The sequence below is a fragment of the Homo sapiens genome, chromosome 3 (genome assembly GCF_000001405.40).
Source record: "Homo sapiens chromosome 3, GRCh38.p14 Primary Assembly".
In the NCBI taxonomy this organism is placed as follows: domain Eukaryota; kingdom Metazoa; phylum Chordata; class Mammalia; order Primates; family Hominidae; genus Homo; species Homo sapiens.
This window is the reverse complement of record NC_000003.12, coordinates 93,858,889-93,885,259: the sequence shown is the minus strand read 5'-3', so window position 1 is coordinate 93,885,259 and position 26,371 is coordinate 93,858,889. Positions and strand designations below refer to the sequence as shown.

Below are 26,371 nucleotides of genomic sequence, written 5' to 3'. Positions count from 1 at the left end.
TCAATCAAACAAACAAAGAAGATAAACAAGACAACTTAGAGCCCAGGGCCACAGCTAGAAGCAAATATAGAACTTGAAAGCAGAAAAGTTACCACTGGATGATGTAGGAGAGGCAGGTGGGGCTTGAAGTGTTAAAAACCATTAAGATCCCACTGAGGGCTTGTGATAGTATGAGCTTGCTTGTACTGAAAAAGACTGTCCATCTGAAGAATACTTTGAAAAGAAAAACTTAAATAAAATTCAAAATATTTTCAACTATTATCAAAGAAAGGATTTTTTTTCTCTTAATGAAAACCTATACTCATAATCGAGCCACTGTTTAAGTTTAAAATGCACTCCTTGACTTGTATTTTAATTTGTTAGATTAACCCTCGTCTAGATGGATGTATACGAAGCTGGAATTTGATGAAGCAAGGAGCTTCTGGAATAAAGGAAATTATTCAAGAAAAACAAAATAAGCATTGCCTGGTTACTGTGGAGAAGGGCTCCTACTATCCTGGTTCTGGAATTGCTCAATTTCACATAGATTATAGTAAGTGATTTTCCATTTATCTCTATTTTCTCATTAATGAGTAAATTTATTCATTAACAAACAGTAATAATTTATTTGTGAAACATTATTGAGTATCTACTGTGTGCCCACTCTAGTCTTATGCTTATTCATACTATTATATACCTTTTACAAAAATTTTTCAGTGTATTGGGAAAAATATAAAGGCATTTGAATGTGCTTGTGTTGTTATTTCAGGTTTATCAGTACATAGCCTGATTCCTTATGGGTAAATTCAATTGACCTATTTTAAAGTTCACTGATTTCTCACTTGTATGGAGTCTATCAATGAATGCATCAGAAAGATTCATCTTCATTTCTAGCATTTCTATTTGATGCTTTCTTAAAATTTCTACCTCCCTGTTGAAATTCCCTATCTGTTCACACTTGTCTAGTTTATGTACTGAGTTTTCAATGTATTCATCATAATTATTTTAAATTCCCTGTCTCGTAGTTCCAACTGTGTCATATCTGAGTCTCGTCATTTTGTTTGCTTTGTCCCTTGACCAAGTGTTGTTTTTCTTGCATCTTTGTGTACCATGTAATTTTTGGTTTAGATTTGGGCATCTTACGTATAACAGTAGAGACTGAGATAAAGAATATTTGTGTCTGGAAATGAGCACATTTCTTTTGCTAGGCTCTTAGTAATGGGATTGAATCAATCTAGTGAAAAGTTGAGCTTCTTAAGTTTTGTTGGTGCCAGGATTACCCTTAATGCACCACAGGTTTCAGATCTTTTATTTTGTTTTGTTTTGTTTTTGAGATGGAGTCTCACTTTGTCACCCAGGCTGGGGTGCAGTGATGCAATCTTGGCTCACTGCAACCTCTGCCACCTGGATTCAAGTGATTCTTCTGCCTCAGCCTCCTGAGTAGCTAGAACTACAGGCGCCCGCCACCACGCCCGGCTAATTTTTGTATTTTTGTGTTTTTGGCCAGGCTGGTTTTGAACTGCTGATCTCATGATCCACCCCCTTGGCCTCCCAAAGTGCTGGGATTACAGGTGTGAGCCACCGCACCCAGCCTCAGATTTTCAAAATACTACCTTCTGCTTAGAATAAGGGAATGGTTTGGTAGCTAGTTTTTCTTTTTCTTTTCTTTCTTTTTTTCTTTTTTTTTGAGACTGAGTCTCACTCTGTCACCCAGGCTGGAGCTCAGTGCCACAATCTCGGCTCACCGCAACCTCCACCTTGCAGGTTCAAGTGATTCTCATGCCTCAGCCTCCTGAGTAGCTGGAATTACAAGGGTGCGCCACCATGCCCTGCTAATTTTTGTATTTTTGACGAGGTTTTGCCATGTTGGCCAGGCTGGTTTCAAACTCCTGACTTCAGGTGATCTGCTTGCCTTAGCCTCTCTAAGTGCTGGGATTACAGGCTTGAGCCACCGTGCCTGGCCTAGAGAGTTTTTCATCATAGCAGCTCAGTTTTATGTATTCCCTCCATAATACGCCTCAAGAAAATGTCTCTCCCACTTGTGTCTCTCAAGTGTCTTGCCCACCCCTAGCAGAGTGCTCTTGTTACCTGACATTTGCTAACATGGCAGAGAAGATGCGGAGGTTGGGGAAGCATTCTATGTTGTTGTCGTACAAATTCAGTCTTAGGCAGGTGTTGTATCCCTGGGTCTCAGGAGTGTGGAATTTTCACTGTTCCTCTTCCCTGACTCTCATCAGTAGGGGAGATGTCTAGTGATCAGGACTCAATATGTTTTCTTGCTCCTTCTGCATGATAGATAGCTTTTTTTGTTTGTTCTTCCTAATCTGTAGTTGCAATGAGTCTTCATATGTGTCCTAATGACAAGGTTTGCTGCCTTTCTCCTGGCTTGAAAACTTGTGTTGTGTAGAGGAGACCGAGAAGGATCTAGATGGGGCTTTGTGGCTTCCCTGTAGCTGGTGCTGCTTTCAGGACCATATTAAGAGAGAGGCTTTTTCGGATCTCCTTCCCTGCACTCTGTTTTCTCTTGAGTGCATGGTAAGGTCTGTGGAGAAGAGCCTGTGAATGAGCATGAATTGTCTTTGTGTCTGTAATTTCTAGGGCTTCTAAACTCTTACGTCAGCCCCTACATGGAGTTCAGCAATTTGTTTAAATCTTTACCTAAATTATTTTTACCAAATTGCATGGCATTTCCTGTCTGCCCTGGATTAGAAAGTGTTCTCATTCTGGCTTTCCTTGGAAACACCTGTCTTTCTTTAGGTTTCTGGTTAGTTTGTTGCTCTGCGACCTCAGCTCTTTGATAGTTTCAAGAAAAGTCATGATTATGCAGATAATTTGGCTTTTGTTGTTGTAAGGGTGGGAGTGGTGCCCTTTCCACTTTTCTACAGCCTAAGTGGAGCAGGGAATCTTGCCATACTGACCCTAGGTTTTTAACCTTAGAAGTAATACTTCTGTGAACATCCTAAATCATACATCCTTCTACCTTTATGTGATTAATTCTATGGAAGAAAATTTTAGAATTAGGTTATCTCTATCAAAGGTTATGCAAATATATAATTATTAGAGGTTCAATTACATTCTTTTCCAAAAATCTTTTATCAATTAATATTTCTACCAACAGAATGAGAAAGTGTATGCTTTAGTTTTTTTCCAATCTGATAGTTCAAAAATTAAATTTTGTAGGTTTGAATATTAATATTATTTCTCTAATTTCTACTGAACTTGAATATCCTCCCATATGTTTATTAGCTATTTATAAATTCTAATTATTTTATTGAATTCTTTGTCTTTTTCTTTTTTAGTAGTTCATTATTTGAGCTACTAACACTTTGCATTATAAATTGTTAACACTAATGTGATATCTCTGCTTTAAGAAAAAAATTACATTTTAATTGTGTTTATTTGTAACCTAAAAAGGGCGAGGTAAGGTGGCTCACACTTATAATCCCAGCACTTTAGGAGGCTGAGGCGGGCAGATCCCAAAGAGCTAGAGCCCAAGAGTTCAAGACCAGCCTTGGCAACATGGTGAAACCCTATCTTCACAAAAAATACAAAAATTAGCCAAGCCTGATGGCATGCACCTGTAGTCCCAGCTACTCAGGAGGCTGAGGTGTGAGGATGGCTTGAGCCCAATATGTTGACACAGCAGAGAGCCAGGATCTTATCACTGCACTCCAGCCTGGATGACAGAGTGTGAGCATGTCTCACAAAAAAAAAAAAAAAAAAAGTGCTTACTACATTAAAATACATTTTTAAATTTTTATGTAATTAGGAGGTACAAGTGCAGATTTCTTACATGCATATATTGTGATATATTGTGTAGTGGTGAAATCTGGGCTTTTGGTGTACACATCACCCAAATAGTGAACATGATACCCAATTGGTAATTTTTCAACCCCTACCCTCCTCCCACCCTCCCATCTTTCGTAGTCTATATTTACTACATTTGTTTGTTTGTTTTTGAGACAGGGTCTCTCTCTGTCATCCAGGCTGGAGTGCAGTGGTGCAATCATGGCTCACTGTAACCTAGACCTTCTGGGCTCAAGCAATCCTCCTGCCTCAGCCTCCCAAGTAGCTAGGACTACAGCCACATGCCACCATGCCTTGCTAATTTTTATGTTTTGCAGAGACAGGGTCTTCCCGTGTTGCCCAGGTCAGTTTTCAAATTCCTTAACTCAAGTGATACTCCTGCCTCAGCCTCCCAGTGCTGGTGTTACAGGCATGAGCCACTGTGCCCAGCCTTTTTTACTGTATTTTTAAGGACAAATTTTACAAAAATGATTTCCCTTTTTCTAACACAAATTGATACAATGCCTAGTTCTGTTCTGCCTATGAAAGATTTTTTTAAAGTTATAAATGGGGTGAGGATTAAATTAGGATAAAACTAAATCCATGGTGATTTGGCCAAAGGAAAAAAATCCTGAAAAGGTAATGAAAATAAGAGTTATATTGTATCTAAAAAAATTACTTTAATAAGTAATTAATCATTTCATGGATAATTTGTAAGTGATCTACTTTGTAATTAATATTTAATGTTACATTTTAACTTCTATACATTCGTGTGTTCATTTTAGTTTGAGTTTAATATTCTGTGTTAAATTTACTTATTTCAAGATAAATGTTTAGGTGATAGAAATTCCAATTACCCTGATTTGAGCATTACACATTGTATGCATTTATCAAATGACATATGTACCCCAAAATATGTGCAATTATGATATATCAATTAAAAATTACTTATTTCACAATGATTACATATAAACATTCTTTTTTTTTTGGAGACAGAGTCTCACTCTTTTTCCCAGGCTGGAGTGCAGTGGCGTGATCTCAGCTCACTGCAACCTCTGCCTCCTGAGTTCAAGCGATTCTCCTGAATCAAGCCTCCCGAGTTGTAGCTGGGACTACAGGTATACACCACCATGCTCGGCTAATTTTTTGTATTTTTTTTTCAGTAGAGATGTTTCACCATGTTGCCCAGGCTGGTCTCGAACTCCTGAGCTCAGGCAATTCCAAAGTGCTAGGATTACAGGCATGTGCCACCGTACCCGGTCTATATATTTTTTTTCTTCTGGATGGGAGTTACAGGATTATAATGAAAAACAGTGACATTATATGTGGCTAAGTGGAAGAACATCTTGTCAAAGGAAAATGATTTTCCTTATTCACATTTACCCTTTCAAGGGCTCCGTGTGGTATTTGGGCTTTGCTGTATGTTACATCATATTAAATGAGGAAGACTTCATTCAGATTATGAACTAATATTTTTAGTAATCCAACTATTCTGGAAACATATTAATTCAACAAATATCTATTGAGTGAGTGCTGGGGAAAACAAAGCAATGATAGAGATATATACCTCCTAGAGCTTGCATGTTAGTGGGATAGACAATTAACCTAGTAATTAAGAAAGAGAATGTGAAGGATTATGACAAGAGATTCACAAAACAAGGGTTCCTATTCTGATTTCAAAACTAACTGCTGATGTCAGTGTATTTCTCTAGTATCGAACTATCCAACTCTCCTATGTATATAGATCATATTTATCCTTTGGAGTGATGATGGCAACTGTACCCAGATTTTCCCTAAATTATTACAGTAAATTTGTTGAATTTTCAAACGTGTGCTTGGAAATATGACCACTCTGAGATTTGAGCATTGGTGAATGTGCAAGGGAGAAGGAAGCACTGTTAAAGAGCAAACTGGGAAAATCCATGATAATCCTTAACACCACAATCCAGAATTCTCTTCTAGGAAGAACGGGAAGATGGTACTCCATTTGCATGTTTCTTGCCTGCATTACAAAAAAGTTTGTTTTGTTTTGCCTAGGTTATATAGATCATTGAGAAAGGGAATGGAAATAGTATTACACAAGATAGTTTTGAATATTACCTGGACTGTGTTAATAATAATTCCTTCTGATGCACTTTAGGAGTGCATTGATCATGCTTCTGTTTCATTATTTTAAATAGATAATGTATCCAGTGCTGAGGGTTGGCATGTAAATGTGACCTTGAATATTCGTCCATCCACGGGCACTGGTGTTATGCTTGCCTTGGTTTCTGGTAACAACACAGTGCCCTTTGCTGTGTCCTTGGTGGACTCCACCTCTGAAAAATCACAGGTAACTTAACTCTAAACCTATATAAGCCTTGTTTTTCTTTTCATTTTTTAAAATGTATACATAGCAGTATTTACCTCAAAGGACTATTTTGAAGATTAAATAAAGTAACTTATGTAAAGTGTTTGGCACAATCTCCAGCACATCATTAAGGACTCAAAAAATGTCTATTATTGTTACTTTTTTTCTGGCTTGTTTCCAAGGTCTGAATGAAGAAGTAAGGGGAGGGAGGAATGAAAAACCTACTGCATCTATACCTAAGATTAGGCAGACTCTCACACAGGCTGCTTGGAGCCATCCGAGTACATAGAGATCCACCCTTATTAAGAATACTTTATGTGTTGTGGGAATTAGTCTGTACTGTCAACATAGAAGTGAGTCTAATTACAGTGCACTGTCAGATATTCAGTGCTTAATTATAATGTTTTGTTCTTTCTTACACTCTTAATCTTTTCTCCCAAGAGTAAGTTAGGAAAAAAGAGAGAAAGTTAAAACTGGTCCACTTGGTTTCTTACTGGCAACTCTTATTTGAAATTAGGAGGAAGAACACGAAAAAGCCTTAGATGAAAGGAAATATGAGGGTTATCAGAAAATCTGTATTATTCAGACTTCTATTAGAGCATAGTCGTTCTGTCTATGTGTCATCCACAGTGCATTCTAACAAGTTACAGCAAGAAGCTGATGTTTATGCCAAGGCTGACTTGGATGCTTTCAGTAGATTTTAGAAAGAGACCTGTGGTTGAATAATGTCTATTGTAGTAAAACAAGTTATGCTGTTTGCAACTTAAAGTATGATTCAGGGAGGAGGATGGGAAGTTTCTGGTGGTTAACCATAAGTAACCTAAAAATATCCTGATGAGTTTTTTTTTGTTTTTGTTTTTGTTTTAATCTCCTGCCTTTAAGGAGCTTTCTACATTTGGATTTCAGGGGTTTTTTGTTTGCTAGTTTGTTTTTCTTTTTAAACAAAATGGAATTCTTATCTTAAACACTACATTCATGCAGTGGAGGAGGTTAACGCATGCCATGTCTTTGATATTTAATTTATCCTTTGAGTGTTTGCCTCCGTGGTTCTTTCTTTGCATGTCAGATTTCCTTCTCAAGGTCTATGCAATATTTCATAACATTATTCCAGATATCATTGATCATTTTGGAGCATTTTCTTTATTGACAATCTCTTTTAATGAGTTTAAGGATACGGACATGTACAACACAATAACAGATTTCCTCAAGTAACCTATATTTGCAAAGTTAGTCTTTTCACTTAAAATAGGTATCTTGGATTCCTAAATAAACATTTCTGATTATGTTTTTATCACTTTCCTCTATGCCATATAAGCTATATGAAGAGATCACACTCAACACATTGAGTAATTTAGGCATAACGGCAGTTTGAAAGGTTCAGCAGAATGAACACATTTTCTTTCTGTAGAATCTTCTGGTAAATGTTCTATAACGTGCTGGTGGCAATCCCTGGTTTTTCTTTCTCAGGGCCTCTTCATTTATTTTATCCCAAGTCTGTAGGATTGCTTGTGTGGCACAAAGAAACCTGTTAGTCCTGCTGGCATATGCTTACTAAAGCATTTTAAATTTCCCAAGTCTTTTCTCAACAAAGAGTGATTCAACTCCTTCCCTTTTCATATGTAAACTTGGAAATTAGGAAGGCTCATAAACAGAAAGATATAAGACACTCCTATAGGTTCCGGTTGTTTTACGGAATTTTCAGAAACCAGTATACATTTATATTTTAGCTAAACTTTGAGTTTGTAAAACTAATGTGTATTTTAAATTTTAGTCATAATTATTATAAATTAGTCTTATAATAATTAGTGATTTTTCCCTTAAATTTAGAGGCTCTATCATACATTTTCTTTCCTTATTGAAATTTAGTTTTTGACTTTCAAAAACTCAAAAGTCACTCTTAAGCAGCATTACTCTTACTCCTTGCTTATATTGAATCTTTGCTCTGCTCTTCAGGATATTCTGTTATCTGTTGAAAATACTGTAATATATCGGATACAGGCCCTAAGTCTATGTTCCGATCAACAATCTCATCTGGAATTTAGAGTCAACAGAAACAATCTGGAGTTGTCGACACCACTTAAAATAGAAACCATCTCCCATGAAGACCTTCAAAGACAACTTGCCGTCTTGGACAAAGCAATGAAAGCAAAAGTGGCCACATACCTGGGTGGCCTTCCAGGTATCTGCTTACTTTTTCTTCAGTTTTAAAAAGTATATTTTAATCAAACCGATAATATTTTAAATATATAATTATAGTAAAAAAGCATCAGAAGGGAACATAAAATCCAGTATTCATTATTCTTTTTCTAGGGGCTAGTACCGACATTTTATTGGCATATTTTTGTTTTGTTTTGTTTAGTTTAAAAATGTTGAACTAAGGCTGATCAAGTTTTGCTTCATTTGGCTATCCCAGCCAGAAAGGATATGTTATTTTATTTCATCATCACAATAGTCTTATAAGTTCAATATTTGTTCTAATTTACCCAATATTTATTCATCTATTATTCAGTTCATCTTATCATTTATCCAGCTTTTTTTTTTTTTTTTTTTTTTTTTGAGATGGAGTCTGGCTCTGTCGCCCAGGCTGGAGTGCAGTGGCACGATCTCGGCTCACTGCAAGCTCCGCCTCCTGGGTTCACGCCATTCTCCTGCCTCAACCTCCCGAGTAGCTGGGACTACAGGTGCCCGCCACCACACCCGGCTAATCTTTTTGTATTTTTAGTAGAGAGGGGGTTTCACCGTGTTAACCAGGATGGTCTTGATCTCCTGACCTTGCGATCCGCTCGCCTCGGCCTCCCAAAGTGCTGGGATTACAGGCGTGAGCAGTGACAATAGTTGTAGTATCTAACTACCATCAACTATTGCAAAACAAACAGTCTGGGCACTGTTTAACGTGCTTCAAATATATCCACTTGTTTAATTTTCAAAATAGTCCAGTGAGGTAAGTGCTATTATTATCCCCATTTTACAGATGAGGAAACTGAGGAAGCTGCAGGACCAGGGTGATAACAATGAAGATGATGGACAGTAAATAGATCGGAGATATGTGTTAGAAACAAAATTAATAGGATTTAATAACTGAAAGACAGGTATAAGGATGACTTTTAGGTATCTGGCATGAGCAGTTGCATGGATGGAGATTCCATTTACCAAGATGGGGAAAACTGGAGGAAAAACAGATTCATCTTTAACTGAATATTGGAAAATATGAAATTGGCACCAATATTTCACTTTAAATGGAAAATTAGAGGCAGAAAGTTATTTAGAAGCATTTTCAGATGACATTTGCAATTTATTCTCATGGGGAGAATTCTGAGTTTGATGTCTGGACCTCTGATAACCTTCAATATACTGCTTAAACTGCTCATGGTCTTGATTTCCCATATATGGAAATTGTATCTGGGGTTTTGGGAAATAGAAGTAAATAGGCTTTAAAAGCTATAGAAAGACAGACAGATAGATAGATGATAGATAGATAGATAGATAGATAGATAGATAGATAGATAGATAGATAGATAGAGGTAAGTAGTGAGCATGCCTAATTATTAGGGAGTAAAATTATAGTTTAAATGAATAAATTCTATATTGAAATCTACCTACTACCTTATCCACAAGTTAGTTGAATGCAATTTTAGGAAATCAAACCAACAAAGAGTTTAAAAGAAGTAGAATTATCAAAATTTCAGTGGTTTCGGGATTTTGGCAACAGCACTGAGGACTAACTTCAGGCAAAATGTCTTGAGAGAAAGAGTGGGGAAGATTTGAGAGGAGCTAAATATTGAGATATTAAGAGTATAAACTGTGAGATGGGTAAATTATTAATTACATGCAAAGTAGGCATGTAAAATTCCATGTGAAGTACTAAAACCCAAGAGAAATGAATGATTTTGAGTAATTTCTTTCCTCAAAATCGAATGAATTTGAGTAATTTCTTTTCTCAAAAAAGGAAAAGTGGCATAATCTATGATGTTTAGCCCAACTTGAAAGGGATTCTTAACAAATGCTATGAGCTCACAGTCATAGTAAAGTAGGAACTTTATTCACTGTGTTGGCAAGTTAGAAGTTGAAAATTTAAAGGTTTTTTTTTGGCATAAGGTACTGAAGATGAAGAATAAGGGCTAAAGAATATCCATTGTGAGTTAAGATTAATGGAGAGGAGAGGCCAAAAAAGAGGAAGGAAAATTGTTATTTTTAGGAACTCTAAATAGTACATGAAAGTGAATCCTGTATCATGACCTATTGTATGCTCAACAAAAAAATTGTTTCTTTGGAAAAATACAGAAATCTGCTTTTATTCCAACAATAATAAAAGAGATATATTGATCATGACATTTAAAAGAGATTCCCAAGTAGCTATAATTTGGAGTTAAGAAAATGATTTAACAATGCTTAAACTGTTGCTTAAGTTTAAAGAGAAAATAGTATGTTATTTGTATAATAAAAATAGAATATCACAAGAATATGCTTGTTTCTACTCTCCCTCAAATGTGTTTAAGTTTAAATGGAACTAATTGTGTTTATGAAATCTGAGGAACTCATGACATGCTGAATTCAATGAAGTACAGTAACATGTATATCGGCGTCACTTAACATGTATTTATGGAATAGAATTTCACTATTAACTTTTCCTTTAGGATTAGAATTTGGTTGGAAACAGGAAGTCTGAATGACTTCTCTCACTGTAAACAAACAAGATGCTAAAAGTCTTGGACTAATATTCTAATATTTTCCTTTTACAGATGTTCCATTCAGTGCCACACCAGTGAATGCCTTTTATAATGGCTGCATGGAAGTGAATATTAATGGTGTACAGTTGGATCTGGATGAAGCCATTTCTAAACATAATGATATTAGAGCTCACTCATGTCCATCAGTTTGGAAAAAGACAAAGAATTCTTAAGGCATCTTTTCTCTGCTTATAATACCTTTTCCTTGTGTGTAATTATACTTATGTTTCAATAACAGCTGAAGGGTTTTATTTACAATGTGCAGTCTTTGATTATTTTGTGGTCCTTTCCTGGGATTTTTAAAAGGTCCTTTGTCAAGGAAAAAAATTCTGTTGTGATATAAATCACAGTAAAGAAATTCTTACTTCTCTTGCTATCTAAGAATAGTGAAAAATAACAATTTTAAATTTGAATTTTTTTCCTACAAATGACAGTTTCAATTTTTGTTTGTAAAACTAAATTTTAATTTTATCATCATGAACTAGTGTCTAAATACCTATGTTTTTTTCAGAAAGCAAGGAAGTAAACTCAAACAAAAGTGCGTGTAATTAAATACTATTAATCATAGGCAGATACTATTTTGTTTATGTTTTTGTTTTTTTCCTGATGAAGGCAGAAGAGATGGTGGTCTATTAAATATGAATTGAATGGAGGGTCCTAATGCCTTATTTCAAAACAATTCCTCAGGGGGAACAGCTTTGGCTTCATCTTTCTCTTGTGTGGCTTCACATTTAAACCAGTATCTTTATTGAATTAGAAAACAAGTGGGACATATTTTCCTGAGAGCAGCACAGGAATCTTCTTCTTGGCAGCTGCAGTCTGTCAGGATGAGATATCAGATTAGGTTGGATAGGTGGGGAAATCTGAAGTGGGTACATTTTTTAAATTTTGCTGTGTGGGTCACACAAGGTCTACATTACAAAAGACAGAATTCAGGGATGGAAAGGAGAATGAACAAATGTGGGAGTTCATAGTTTTCCTTGAATCCAACTTTTAATTACCAGAGTAAGTTGCCAAAATGTGATTGTTGAAGTACAAAAGGAACTATGAAAACCAGAACAAATTTTAACAAAAGGACAACCACAGAGGGATATAGTGAATATCGTATCATTGTAATCAAAGAAGTAAGGAGGTAAGATTGCCACGTGCCTGCTGGTACTGTGATGCATTTCAAGTGGCAGTTTTATCACGTTTGAATCTACCATTCATAGCCAGATGTGTATCAGATGTTTCACTGACAGTTTTTAACAATAAATTCTTTTCACTGTATTTTATATCACTTATAATAAATCGGTGTATAATTTTAAAATGCATGTGAATATCTTTATTATATCAACTGTTTGAATAAAACAAAATTACATAATAGACATTTAACTCTTCATACAACGAAGTAGTTCTTCAGTTAAAAGACAGATAAAGCTCCAATATTTGAATAATATTTATGGTTGGGTGGTAGACTGGAGCTCAGAAGGTGAAGAGAAGCAAAAGTAACATGTATCTTTTGACACAAACCATAAATTGTCTTGCTAAATATAATTTGTTTCCCAATTGCCACCAGGTACTATGGGGGATGAATATCAGCAAGTGACTATTGATAATTACATTCATGTAAAAGAGCAAGGAAAAAGAAAAACAGAGAAAACATACATGAGAGAGGGAAAAAAAAGTGAAAGAAAGGGGCGGAGTTCCCTGCTTTTCATTTGATTATGCCACATACAGGTCAGATATAGGGATCAATTCTACCTTTCACATCAGGAGCAGAAACCTTCCCACATGCAATGATGCTCGTAGAGGCTCCAGAGACGCATTTATAAATTTCATCTACCTTTGAGATGTGCTCATACATGCCTAGAGAGAGGGTCTAGACCTATGGCTAAGAATCTTTGATTGATGTTTAGTTTTGAACTTTGCCAAGAAATATAGATTCCTACTTTTAAAGAGTTGGTAGAGAACAAGGCAAAGTGGATATTTGGTGCCATTTCAGCTTTGTATATAAGTAAAAAAAACTCCAAATAACAGGGCCATTACAGAGTCCCTTAGAATTCACCTTTTGAAAAAGCTTTCTTTTTTCTTTTTACTTTTTGAACATGTTATGTGAGATGGTAATAGAACTTAACCATTTGCAGCGGTCAGTGATGGATCAGTGAAAGCAATGGTTAATCTGTAAGAACAGGACTATTCACCTAATTTCTCCTGTCTGAAAGTATAATTCTAGTCTCAGTCCCTATATGCCAATACAATAAAGTATTTCCAATTTTCTTTTCATTCTAGAATTAAGGAACTGGTGGGATTACTGGAAAGAGGACTTTTTCATGTGAAAATTTTTCACAAAATAATTGCCTATTTATTTTTGCATTTCCCTGGACCTTTAGTTGCTATCATCGGTGGGAACTGAAATAATAAAGAAGATGAATATCTGAAATAATTTTTAGATTTCATCATGTTGGTATTAATATTGATTTGGGAGATGACACGGTCACTAGAGACTCAAAGGGCAAGTATGATCAATTTCTAATTCATTCATTCAGCAACAAATATTTATCAAGCACCTACTCTACTCTGTGCATGTGGAGTCAAAAGTAGTATGTCTGCGGGCTAAACCCAATGGAATAGGAAGTCACAATACTCAAGTTGGCCCTTGGTAGTCCTCAGGTTCCTGTTCCTTGGAGCTACGAAGCAGCTCTTTTCTGGTCATCCTAAGAAATTGAAGTGATAAAACTTTTGGTCGGCCGGGTGTGGTGGCTTACGCCTATAATCCCAGCACTTTGGGAGGCCCAGGCAGGCAGATCATCTGAGATCAGGAGTTCGAGACCATGGCCAGCATGGTGAAACCCCGTCTTTACTAAAAATACAAAAATTAGCTGGGTGTGGTGGCGGGTGCCTGTAATTCCAGCTAGTCGGGAGGCTGAGGCAGGAGAATCGCTTGAACCCGGGAGGTGGAGGTTGCAGTGAGCCAAAATTATGCCATTGCACTCCAGCCTGGGCAACAGGGTGAGACTGTCTCAAAAAAACAAACAAACAACAAAAAAAACTTTTGGTCAGTAGTTTGCTCCTTATGAAGAAGATTGTTTTGATGGTGGTCTTGCACACGAGTTTCTCGCTATAGCAAGCTTTGAGCTTTCAGAGAACTTATATTTGAAAACTGGATCTTCTATGGCAGAGACATTGCTTAGGGGTTCATCTAGTGCTGTCCAAGATAACCTCTGGCTATCTTGTATTTGTGTTTGCAGAATGCGAAGGTGGGGGCAGTTACCTGGGTCAGCATACATGGGTTTTGGGTACATATTATTAATAATATAAACAGTGCAAGGCCAGATTACGAGGTCAAACTGACAATGGAAAAAGATCTTAGCTTCAAGTTGTGAAGCTAAGAGTGTCAGAAATAGAGGGGAACTGAGTATGGGGAGGTTTGGAACAAGTTGAAAACCAGCGAGGTTGGAGGGTATTTCCTGATCTGCAGTCCATTACTCTGTAGTGCTTTGGACGTGCCATGGTGTAGCAGTTGTCTTACCTGTGGATAAGAATAGCATTTGGTGAATTTACAGACTCATTTCTGCTAATCTACTTGCCATAACAAGCCCTCCTCAAAGAGAATCCTATTTTCATGGGAAAGAAATTGTAAAGTAATACCTGCAATTTGCTGGTGATTGATTCTCTTTCCTGCTAACATTTCAAACTGAGAAATCTGGAATCTCATTCTGTAATTGGGGTGTCCCCACTTGATACATCAAATCCTTCCTCAAGTTGATTTGAAGAGAAGGGAGAACAGGCCAATATTTAACTGACATAGGAAGAATCTGGCATTATTTTCTGGAGGTCCCAAACAATAAATAGAAAAAAATTAATTTAAATAAAGCCAAATTGAACACTCGGGCTGACACTGGATCTTCTGAAGATGAGCATCTTCCTGAGCCAACTCAGCATGTACAGATGGCCACAGGGGACTAACAACTGGCTGTTCTGAAAAATAGGCACAGTCTTAGTCTGCCTCGTACATGTAGCTAGCCAAGTTGCAAAGCTGAGATTGCAAGGCAAGTTGCAAAAAGCCAGGATGTCTGGGTCAAGAGTGCACACCCAAATTTGAAACTACACTGTATCCATATTCTAACTAGTTATCTCAGCACTTAGTCAATGGTACATGGTTGGAATGAACAATTCCAACAAATCTAACAATTGGTTGGATAGAACTAATTCTGTCTCCAGTTCTACATATAACTGGTTGTGATATTAAATCTCAGTTGTTAATATTAATCACTTTAACATTTTGAAGATTAAGTATGATATTACTTAACTGAATTAAGCAAATGCTGACACTGACTCTGAACACTTAGATAATTAAAAGCGTGGGCTAGAAAGAATCCCAAGAAAACAATGGAGCAAATATCTTGGTACTGCCATTGATGTACTCAGTCCAGGGGAGAGCAGACACATGGACAAGTAATTAAAAAGTGAGCCTGAGTTTGGTAAAAACTGAAATGCAGAAATAAACATTTGCAGGGGGTTCTGGGAAGGAGAAATGGATTCTAAATGAAAGCTCAATGAGGTGCTATTTAATGAGGCCCAAAAAGACAGATAGATATGAATTTCTGTTCATTTCCCTGCATCCAAGTACTGTCTTTGTGACCATCCCCCACAATGCTTTTAGATTCTCTCTCTCACACAGATATCTTATTTCACTGAAGTCCTCAAAACTCTCCTTTCTTTTCCTATTGGTTATTGCATGAGGTGAAAATAATTAATCTTGGCTTTCAAGGGGTTTCATCATTAAACCAGTAGATCTAAACCCAGGCTTATTAGATTCATTGACCCCTTTGCAAACAACTAAATCAGAAGATTCTCATGGGAAACCAGGGTTACAAACCACAGATTCAGTCTCTGTGGGTAGCTCTCTAACCTCATGCACTCCTCCCCTTGCCTCTCCTGTCTTCTGTGCACATGTGAGGGGTGTGCATACACGATGCACACACACACATACACAGATAAGAACAGACATAAAGCCAAAGGATGAGTTAAAAAACAGGACATGAGGCTGGGCGAGGTGGCTCACGCCTGTAATCCCAGCACTTTGGGAGGCCGAGGTGGGCGGATCACGAGGTCAGGAGATTGAGACCATCCTGGCTAACACGGTGAAACCCCGTCTCTACTAAAAATACCAAAAAATTAGCCAGGCGTGGTGGTGGGCGTCTGTAGTCCCAGTTACTCGGGAGGCTGAGGCAGGAGAATGGCGTGAACCCGGGAGGGGGAGCTTGCAGTGAGCCGAGATCGCACCACTGCACTCCAGCCTGGGCGACAGAGTGAGACTCTGTCTCAAAAAGAAAAACAAACAAACAAACAAACAAAAAAAACAAAAAGCGAGACAGGAAAAAGAAGGATAGGGAGGTAGGGAGGAAGAACAGGTGTGTGTGTGTACAAAACCAGGAGGAGAGAAAAAGACAACAAAGAGAAGACATAAAACAAGAAAGGTAGGAAACAAATTCAGTGAAAGATTTGGTAAGATAAAAATTGAAAATGAGGGAAAGAAAAGTAAAGAATATAGAAAGATACTTGATGAGGAGGGTGAAGAGGAGATGGAGAAATAATAGAAAAATAAATATCTACTTTTTTTGTAAACAAATAGCAGTAGATAGCGACAAATTGATGCCACACCAGATAAGCATATAAGAAAGAGGAGAGGGACCAGGTGCAGTGGCTCCCGCCTGTAATCCCACTGTGGGAGGCTGAGGCCAGCAGATGGCTTGAGCCCAGGAGTCAGAGATCAGCCTAGACAACATGGCAAAACCCTGTCTCTACAAAAAAATAATAATAAAAAAAAACAACCCAAAAAGCTATCCATACCTGGTCGCCCATGCCTGTAGTCCCAGCTACTCAGGAGGCTGAGGTGGGAGGATCACTTGAGCCAGGTGAGGTTGAGGATGTGGTGAACCATGATTGTATCACTGCATTCCAGCCTGGGTGACAGAGTGAGACCCTGTCTCAAAAAAAACGAAAGAAAGGAAGGAAGGAAGGAAGGAAGGAAGGAAGGGAGGGAGGGAGGGAGGGAGGAAGGAAGGAAAAAAAGAAAAGAGAGAGGAGAGAAAATTGGTAGGGGAGAGGAGGTTTAACCAAACATATTAAAGGGGATAGGTGCAGTGGCTCACATCTGTAATCCCCAAATCTTGGGGGGCCAAGGTGGGAGGATTGCTTGAGGCCAGGAGTTCAAGACCAACCTGCGTAACAAAGGAAGTCCCCATATCTACAAATATAAAAATAAAAAATAAAAAAATGTTAGCCAGGCATAGTGGCATGTGTGCCTGTAGTCCCAGTTACTTGGGAGGCTGAGGAGAGAGGATGATTTGAGCCCAAGAGTACAAGCATGCATTGAGCTATGGTCACACCACTGCACTCCAGCTTGGACAACAGAGTGAGACCCTATCTCAAAAACAAACAATAAAAACCCCAAACATAAAAAAGGGAGACAGACATAAAGAACAAATATAAATGGAAAGAAAGAGGGAAAGATTTCCAGACTAAAGACAAGAAAGAGGCAGAGATTATAAAAAATATAATTCAGAGATTATGAGAGAGAGAAGAATGTGTCTGGAAAGAGGAAATAGGAACAAGTAGAAAATGATTTTAGAAAATGAAAAAAGCCAGAGAAAGAAAGAGATGATGAGCAAAGAGAAAGAGACAGAGGATAAATCACAAAGGAAGAGACAAGGAAATGGAAAGTGAGGCAGGAGGAAGAGGGTCCTCAGCTAGTTTATCCAAGGTGAGGATGCAACCTTGACTTGCTGTGGAAATGATGTTCCAGTGCCCTGGAGGGGGAGCTGTTGGCCAAGTAGCTGCTAGACAGCATACACCCCCAAATCATCTCTGACCTTCTTGGTCATCAAGAAATCCTCTGTAGGATGGTACAGGAATGATGACCTTGTGACATTCTGCCAGGAGTGGGGATTGTGGGGAGCTTGCAACCACTAATCTCTCTCTGCCTTATTCCTGACCTCTTTGGGGTTCAGTCAATTTACAACAAATGGAGCTGTCAGTTATTGCATTTGGGGAAGTGCAGAGTAAAAAGGACTCTTCTGAACATGTGATGAATTTCATGCTGAAAATGGAACTACGAAAACGTTTAAACTTACTGCTATACAATAAGCCCAAGCATCATCAGCTGTAACTGGCACACTAATGGTGAGCTAGAAATACAATGGGCAACACCTGGGATGTCATGAGAGAAAAATCCAGTAGGATGTCAATTTACTAGCTTATGAAGACTACTGAGTTAAAGGGAGTGGTATATTCATCCTATTACGTGAAGGAAGAAGCTTGCTTGGACTGCACTCGGTGGTAGAATCAATCATTGAGATAATGCTGTAGCTACCCTTGATACATGTTCAATACCTCCTTGGAGGAGTTTTTTTTTTTTTTTTTTATCAATTTCAAACATTCTTCTGACTTTGATATAACTCAAGAAATATGTAGAATAATTATTCTAAAAGTTTAAATATTTTTTTCTTTTTCTCTGCAAGTACCATTTTTTTTTTTTTATTTAAGATTTGGGATACATGTGCAGAATGTGCTGGTTTGTTACATAGGTATGCATGTGCCATGATGGTTTGCTGCACCCATCAACCCATCATCTAGGTTTTAAGCCCTGCATGCATTAGGTATTTGTCCTAATGCTATCCCTCTCCTTGCCTCCCACCACCCGACAGGCCCTGATATGTGATGTTCCCCTCCCTGTGTCCATGTGTTCTCATTGTTCAACTCCCACTTATGAGTGAGAATATGCGGTGCTTGGTTTTCTGTTCCTGTGTTAGTTTGCTGATTTTTAAAGAATCTGCTTAGAGGTCAGAACTTGGTGCTCTTGAAAACCTTTGACAAATGTATACCCAACTAAAAAGAGTAGCTTTCAAAGAAATTTTTATCTGTGCCAAGCCAATTTGAGTGAAACTCTCCTATTCCTGGTATCTATACTCTCCCCTCTGATGTTTCAAATAGATATTCTCCAGGAATGTCTTAGAAACCTAAGTATCTGCAGCTTTTAAGCACTCACTATTTTTTCTCTCATCAGCTCATTTCAGCTTCATGGATGCCATGAAGCATGGCATCCAATCCTAAGTCTTCCCTCCTTCCTGTCAGCCTTTATTTCTAGGAAGAAAAACTAAGCCTTAATGAACCTAATTACTAGAAAGATTCTGGTATAATAATGTAGACTTCTTGGGAGTCAGATTGTTCAACCCAGAGAAGAAATACCTGGATGCCTTCGGGGGCCATAAAACTAAACATGAAGACTTGTATCTTCTACCTCCCATGTGGAACTTTCCAAAATACCCAACAAAGAAAGAAAAATCAGTAAAATCATTCATCTTAAATCTCTCATTTGCATCATAATCATCACAGTCCTCCAGTTATTTCTAACACATAGAACCTGAGAACCTATTGGTATGGTAACTGTGGGGGTGTTGGGAAGGCAATGACCAATCCATTAATCCAACAACTATTTGTGGAACACACAAAATGTGCCAAACACTATGCTTTCTGGGCATTTGGGATAGATATAGATGAATGAACAAGACACAAATATCTATGTGCCTTTGTACAAATACGGTCATAAAGATGACTAACCTAGAAAGCAAATGTGTCTTCTATGATTCTTCTCATATCATGTTTTCAAAGATGCTAATTTAGTCTTTTATCTTAGTATCAAACTGACAGATTCCAGGTTACTTTTAATTGTTAATGTTCCATAAAAAATAAATAACTCTGTGAGTGTGGAATTTAGATAGAAATCTAATCAAGTGGACCAGTCACTGTCACTGGACAGTCATCTCTCAGGCTCTGTGTGACCATCTTCACTGATGCAGAGCTCACTATTAACCAAAGTCAGCTCATTTTCCCTTTGTTCACGGCATCAGTTTGGGACTTTCAAAAAGCAGATTCCAACAGAGATTAGACAGGTGTTAAGGACTGAATTGTGTCTCCCCAGAATTCATATGTTGAAATATTGAAGTCCTAAACTCCAAAGTGACTACATTTGGAGATAGGGCCTTTAAGGAAGTAAGTAAGGTTAAATGAGGTCATATGGGTTGGGCCAGAATTCAATATGACTGGTGTCATTTTATAAAGAGAGAGAGACACCAGGCATGCTCAGACACAGAGGAAAGGCCATGTGAGGACACAGTAAGAACATGACCATTTGTAAAGAAGGAGAGAGACATCAAGAGAAACCAAACCTGCTCATGCCTTGGTCTTAGATTTTCAGGCTCGAGAACTGCAAAAAATCCAATTGCCCCCTACTCTGTAATATTTCATTATGGCAGCCCTAGCAAACAAATAAAACAGGGAGAAACATCTGTGAAGGAAAAAGGAGGGTACAGGAATGGGTAGGAAGAATCTTCATGTAGCCATGTAAATTGGACACCTGTGAAGGAGAGAAGGAAGTAGGATGATAGGAAGTCTCAGATCTGAGTGCAGTTCTAAGAAGGTTTCAGCTATGTTGATGAGGAGTTCTTGAAAAAAGTTGCCCATCAGAAGGGTCCTGCATCAAGCAGGAAGGGCCTGGCATAAGTACCCTCACTGTGCTCAGTCATTAGTTGGGAAGCAGCCCGGTAGGTCCAGAGGAATAACAAGTGGTCTGTCAGTCAGCTCTATTTTGCAGAAGGTTCTCTTGGAGGTGGTCTGGGCAGAACCCCGTTCATGTCTGCTACAGTGAGCTCTGACTATTAGAAAGCAATCCTTTTCATGAAACCAAAAGCAGACTCTTCATATTCAACACTAAATACTCCTGTGTTACTGAGAGTCAATATAAATGAGCTTACAGCTCCCTTGGTTGCAAGTAGTAGAAACTCAATTTGAATTAGCTTAAGCAAAAGGAGAATTTTAGAAAAGGTATTTAGTTATCTTATGGAATTCTAGGGCTGAAAGAATATTCCTGGGGCTTGGATTTGCTGTAGTGAAATAAGGAAGTTCCTTCACTTTGTTTCTCATTACTGTTTCTCTTCAAGCAACTACATATTACTCTCTCAATACATGCTGGTTTCCTCAACTCTTCAGTTTACATTGTGGGGCATGCCTGCCAACCACTTCTGCATTTATATGTTCATGTTAGATACAGTTCAGACATGGCAGAGTAATAATCATTTCTAGGTTTCAGTCCCAGTTCCAGAATTCCGAGAGAAGTATTATTGCTTTAATCCAGTGTATTTGTTTATGGAAAGTGAAACACAAAGGTGGACTGTTGAGTAAAAAGAAATATTACAATATTGCTGAATACTCTGTATTGCTACTATTTGTGCTATTACTATTGTAATTTACCAATTTATAGGCTCCAAGAATAAATTTAAAAATAAAATTAACATTAAAAATGTGGTACATGTATATCATGGAATCCTACATAGCTGTAAAACATGATGAAATCATGTTCTTTGCAGCAACATGGATGCAGCTGGAGGCCATTATCCTAAGAGAATTAATGCAGAAACAGAAACCAAATACCAAATGTTCTCACTTATAAAAGGGAGCTAAACATTGGGTACACATAGACACAAAGATGGGAACAATAAACATTGGATATTCTAAGTGGGGAGAGAGGAAGGGTCCAAGTGCTGAAAAACTACCTATTGAGTTGTGTGCTTACTACTTGTGCAATGGGATCATTAGAAGTCCAAATCTTAGCATTATGAAATATATCCACATAACAAACCTGTCTTGTCTTAAACCAGACTTGAAAATGGTAACAGGCTGCTTTATTTGCCTCATTTCAATTTTGTGGGGAAGAAGAGAGACTGTACTTTCCTTTTGATCTAAAGTGGCTCAAATCTGTCCCTTTGTTTAACAGTGCCAGATTTAAGAAAAGAGTAATATTTTAAAATCTTAAAATGTGTTTTTATGCCGTATATTTCAGCATCACAATTTTCACCAGCACCATTAGAACATACGTTCAGATCAGTATGGTGTATGAACAGAAATGCTAATCCACTAAGCACTCATGTTAATGGTCATTTAACAAAAGAAATAGATTCTGAGTTGCTTGTAAATTATGTGAGGAGGAAGGTAAAGAACCTAGGAAATAATTAACTAGCATAATTCATTCAGATGTATTTCCTCTGAAAGCATTAAAATGTCATTATTGCTTCCTGAAAGAATTACTTTAAAGCACTGATATATTGTGGTTCTTTTATATGATTTTCAGAGAGCTGATTGTGTGGTTCAGAAAGTTAAAAAAAATACTAGAATCTCATATTCAATTTGGCCTTGATTTGTAGACTGTAGATTCATACAAATAAAAATTTAATTTTATGATCTATTCATTTAATGGTAGTTATATAATGCTTTTAAAATTTTTTTAATCCCTTTTATTAAAACAAATATAAGGCTTCTTTGGAGTGGGCAGAATGGGAGATATTAAATAAATCAAATGTTAAATAAGAAAAAATAGTTTTAATTAATAAAGCTGTGTTTCCAAAAGTAGCTTTTATCACCTTTACTATTACTTACATTTAATTTGACTGACTAGAAACTAGAAGGTGTCAGGCTATTAGACCTGAAAAAGTAGTGCCATGACCATGTTGAGGTAAAGTCAGGAAAAGTGTCATTCGAAATTATTCTGGGGATTTATATTATTCTGTATCCAGGGACTAAATTATTTAGCTCTATTAATTGTATAATAGAATATGTAAAGTATATTTTAGACTGAGAAAAGAAGCTCAAAATACTTCCTATAAGTGGTACAAGTTTACTAATTTGAATATATACTTTTTATTTGTGTTTTTTTAACAACTGCATTGGTTAATTTTAGGTGCCCAACTTAACTGGATTAAGGGATACCCAGATAGCTGGTAAAGGACTATTTGGAGGTCTATCTGTGAGGGTGTTTCTACAAGAGACTGGCATTTGAATCAATGACCTGAATAAGCAAGATCCATCCTCACCCAGTGTGAGCAGGCACCATCCAATAGGCTGATGTCTGGGATGAAACATAAAGGCAGAGGAAAGGCGAATTCCCTCTCACTTCTGGACCTGAGGAAATTTTCCTTTCCTGCCCTTGAACATCAGAACTCCAGGCTCTCCAGCCTTTGGACTCTGGGATCTGCACCAGCAGGTCCCAAGGTGCTCAGGCCTTCAGCCTTGGACTGACAGTTCCATCATTGCTTTCCCTGGTTCTGAGGCCTCCAGACTTGGACTGAGCCATGCTAGTGGCTTTCCAGGTTCTCCAGCTTGCAGATGGCCCACTGTGAGACTGACTTCCCAGCCTCTATAATTGCATGAGCCAATTCCACTAATAAATTCCCTCTTATCTCTCTCTCTATATATATATGTATGTATATGTATAAAATATCCTTTATATATTTATATATAAATAAATATAATACATATATATATATATCCCCTTTGGCTCTATCTCCCTAGAGAACCCTAATACAGCAACTTAGATTTTTAAAGTAGCATTTGGCATCCACCTTCTCTCCATGTATGCCTTTAGTTTAGCACATCAGTGGAACCCATAATTAGAGACAAATGTGAGATGTTGCTATGTTTCCTCCATTTTCCCTCATGCCAACATTTTTCCTCATCTGTAAAACTCTTCAGTTATAAGACTAAAAATAAATCCTCATTACTGACAAAAGGAGCTAGTCCTGTGGTAAAGCCCATTTTAAAAGCAGGCTACTTTTTTGGCCACTAATTGCTTTACTTTATATTCAAGCTCTCTGGGGGTTTCCAAGTTCCTTCATGATCTTTTTCCTACCTACTGTCCTCAGCCATCCACTTTATCAGGTCATTACTTTGTGGTTCTTCACAGGTACCATCTAATCCATTTGTCTTCATCATTTAGCTTTTGCTTATTATGATTTTTATTCAACTAAGACAACCTTCCCCAGCTTCCATTCAGACTTTTTCCAAATGGATCCATCCATTCTCCTTTTAGCATATTTCTATATAATTTCATGGATACTGTTTATTTATAACATGTCTCCCTCCATAGATTATAATTTTTATGAAAGGATGGGCATTGTCTGGACCCCGGTGCCTGGCACTTAGTAAGTGTTGAATAAATACATAATTTCTATCGTCTATAAGTACTTGCTTGACTTCCTTACTAACTAGGCTGTCAACATTTAAGTATAGCTGCTTCTGGACAATATCACTCCCTCATGAAATGCCAATGACTTCATGGATACTGAAAAAGTCATGGTTTATTAAAATCATGAGGTACCAGTGATGGCCAAAGGGAGAACAAGGAATAAGTAAAAAAGGATGAATCATGTGAATTTCAGTAAGCACTCTTTTAGCATGCTGAGATGAACTATAATATGCTTCACTATCGTGTCCTCTAGAAGGAGAATATTTCAACAATGAAATTTTTCAGAGCTGAGTGTTTATAGCAGAGCATTAACAGATGATAAAAGGAAATATAAAAGGCTTCTGTATTTGTGTTTCATCTATAAAGAAACCGGAATGAACTGCCCCTACTCAAGACCATAACAGAATGATTTAGGGTAAATGATATTGTACCCTAAAGAGATATTACCCTGTATGGAAGGTATTAACATGCAAAGATGCATCCTATTTTTCTTCTCATTATTGGGATTTCATGTCCCAGGCAAAACAGATGACTCCTATTACTGTAGAACATCCCACACCCACAAATCATGCCAGAACTGTCCCAAACGAAATCTTCAATTTTTATATCAATCTGGACATGTCATTATTTTTCAAATACTCTTACAAAAGAAGTGCTTCATCATTACTTTGACATCATTGAGAATAACTCATATGAAATCTATTCATCGCAAAGGAAAAAACACAATTATTTACATTTAACAGACCTGTTTTCTTCCTCTAGACTGAGAAGCCTAATATCTTCATAAAATAATTTTAGGTTTTCCGTTTATTTTAGATTCGGGGGAACATGTGCAGGCTTGTTACATGGGCATATTGCATGATGCTGAGGTTGGGGATACAAACGATCTTGTTACTGAGGTAGTGAGCATAGCACCCACTAGGTAGTTTTTCAGCCCACAGCCCCTCTCCTTCTTTCCCTGCTGTAGTAGGCCCCAGTGTCTATTGTTCCTATCTTTGTGTCCATGTGTACCCAATGTTTAGCTCCCACTTATAAGGGAGAACATATGGTATTTGGTTTCCTGTTCCTGTATTAGTTAATTTAGGATAATGGCTTCCAGCTGCATCCATGTTGCTGCAAAGGACATGATTTCATTCTTTTTAATGGATGCATAGCATTCCATGGTGTATTGTACCACATTTTCTTTATTCAGCTCACTATTGATGGGCATCTAGGTTGATTCTATGTCTTTGTTATTGTGAATAGTGAATTTATTGTGAATATTTTCTTCTTTCCTATTTTCTTGCACAAACCTTGATTGCATGCTTTTTAGTTTTTGCTCATTACCTTTTTTTAATTGAGATGAAATTCATATAATATATAATTGTAGTCATTTTAAAGTCATCTAATAGCATTTAGTGTGTTTACAATGTGCTCACCAATTCTTTTACTTCTCTCTGGTTGATTCCTTATGTTAGTGTTCTCCAGAGAAACAGAGCCAATAGGATATTTAGAGAGATATATAAAAGGGAATTTATTTTGAAAATTGGTTCACAGGATTGTGGATGCTGAGAATTCTCATGATATGCTGTCTGCAAAGAGGAAAACAAGGGAAGCCTGTGGTGTAATTCATTCATGTCTGAAGGCCTGAGAATCAGGGCAGCCCATGATGTAACTCCCACTCTGAGAACACAGGGGCACTGGTGTAAGTCCTGAAGTTTGAAGCCCAGAGTGCCTGAAGTTCTGATGTCCAAGGGTAGGAGAGGAAGGATTTCTCAGCTCCAGGAGACAGTCTGATCTTCCTCTGCTTTTTTGTTCTATTCAGGTCCACAATGGACTGGATGAGGCCAACCCACATTGGTGAGGGCACATCGTGTTGATTGGGTCTGCTGATTCAAATGTTTATCTCTTCTGGAAACATTTTCCCTCAGACACTTGCAGGAATCATGTTTTACCAGCTATCTGGGCACCCCTTAGTCCAGTCAAATTGACACAGAAAGCTAATCACGCTTCTTTTCCTGTGAATGTAACAAACTTTTATTGTCTCTTTATGCCTAAGCTCAATCCTGTGTCTTCCAGAACTCAGCAGATAAACTGATGTCTAAATTCCCTGAGAAAAACTGAAGCCTCACAATCTCTCCCTGTCTCCCTGTCAACCTAGCTTTTCACTCTCTTTCACCTCTTCTCTTTTCTCGCTCTCTTTTTTTTTTTTTTTTTTTTTTTTTTTTTTTTGAGACTGGGTCTTGCTCTGTCGCCAAGGCTAAAGTGCAGGGTGTGATCCTGGCTCACTCCAGCCTCCGCCCTCCAGACTCAAGCAATTCCTGTGCCTCAGCCTTCTGAGTAGCTAGGATTACAGGTGTGTGCCACCACACCCAGCTAATTTTTGTATTTTTAGCAGAGACAGGCTTTCACCGTGTTGGCCAGGCTGGCCTCAAACTCCTGACCTCAGTTGATCTGCCCGTCTCATTCTCCCAAAGTGCTGGGATTACA

The 26,371-nt window shown here is 37.6% G+C and overlaps 1 protein-coding gene across 2 annotated transcripts in view; it reads left to right on the top strand.

Annotated features, from left to right (window-relative positions):
- PROS1 (protein S) overlaps positions 1-12,209 on the top strand; it is a 100,846-nt gene extending 88,637 nt beyond the window's left edge. For both annotated transcript variants that reach the window (NM_000313.4, NM_001314077.2), the window contains 4 exons: positions 364-532; positions 5,946-6,097; positions 8,069-8,294; positions 10,855-12,209. In NM_000313.4, the coding sequence (NP_000304.2) occupies positions 364-532; positions 5,946-6,097; positions 8,069-8,294; positions 10,855-11,015 (708 nt within the window). In that variant the 3' untranslated portion in view covers positions 11,016-12,209. The remainder of the gene's footprint in view (positions 1-363; positions 533-5,945; positions 6,098-8,068; positions 8,295-10,854) is intronic.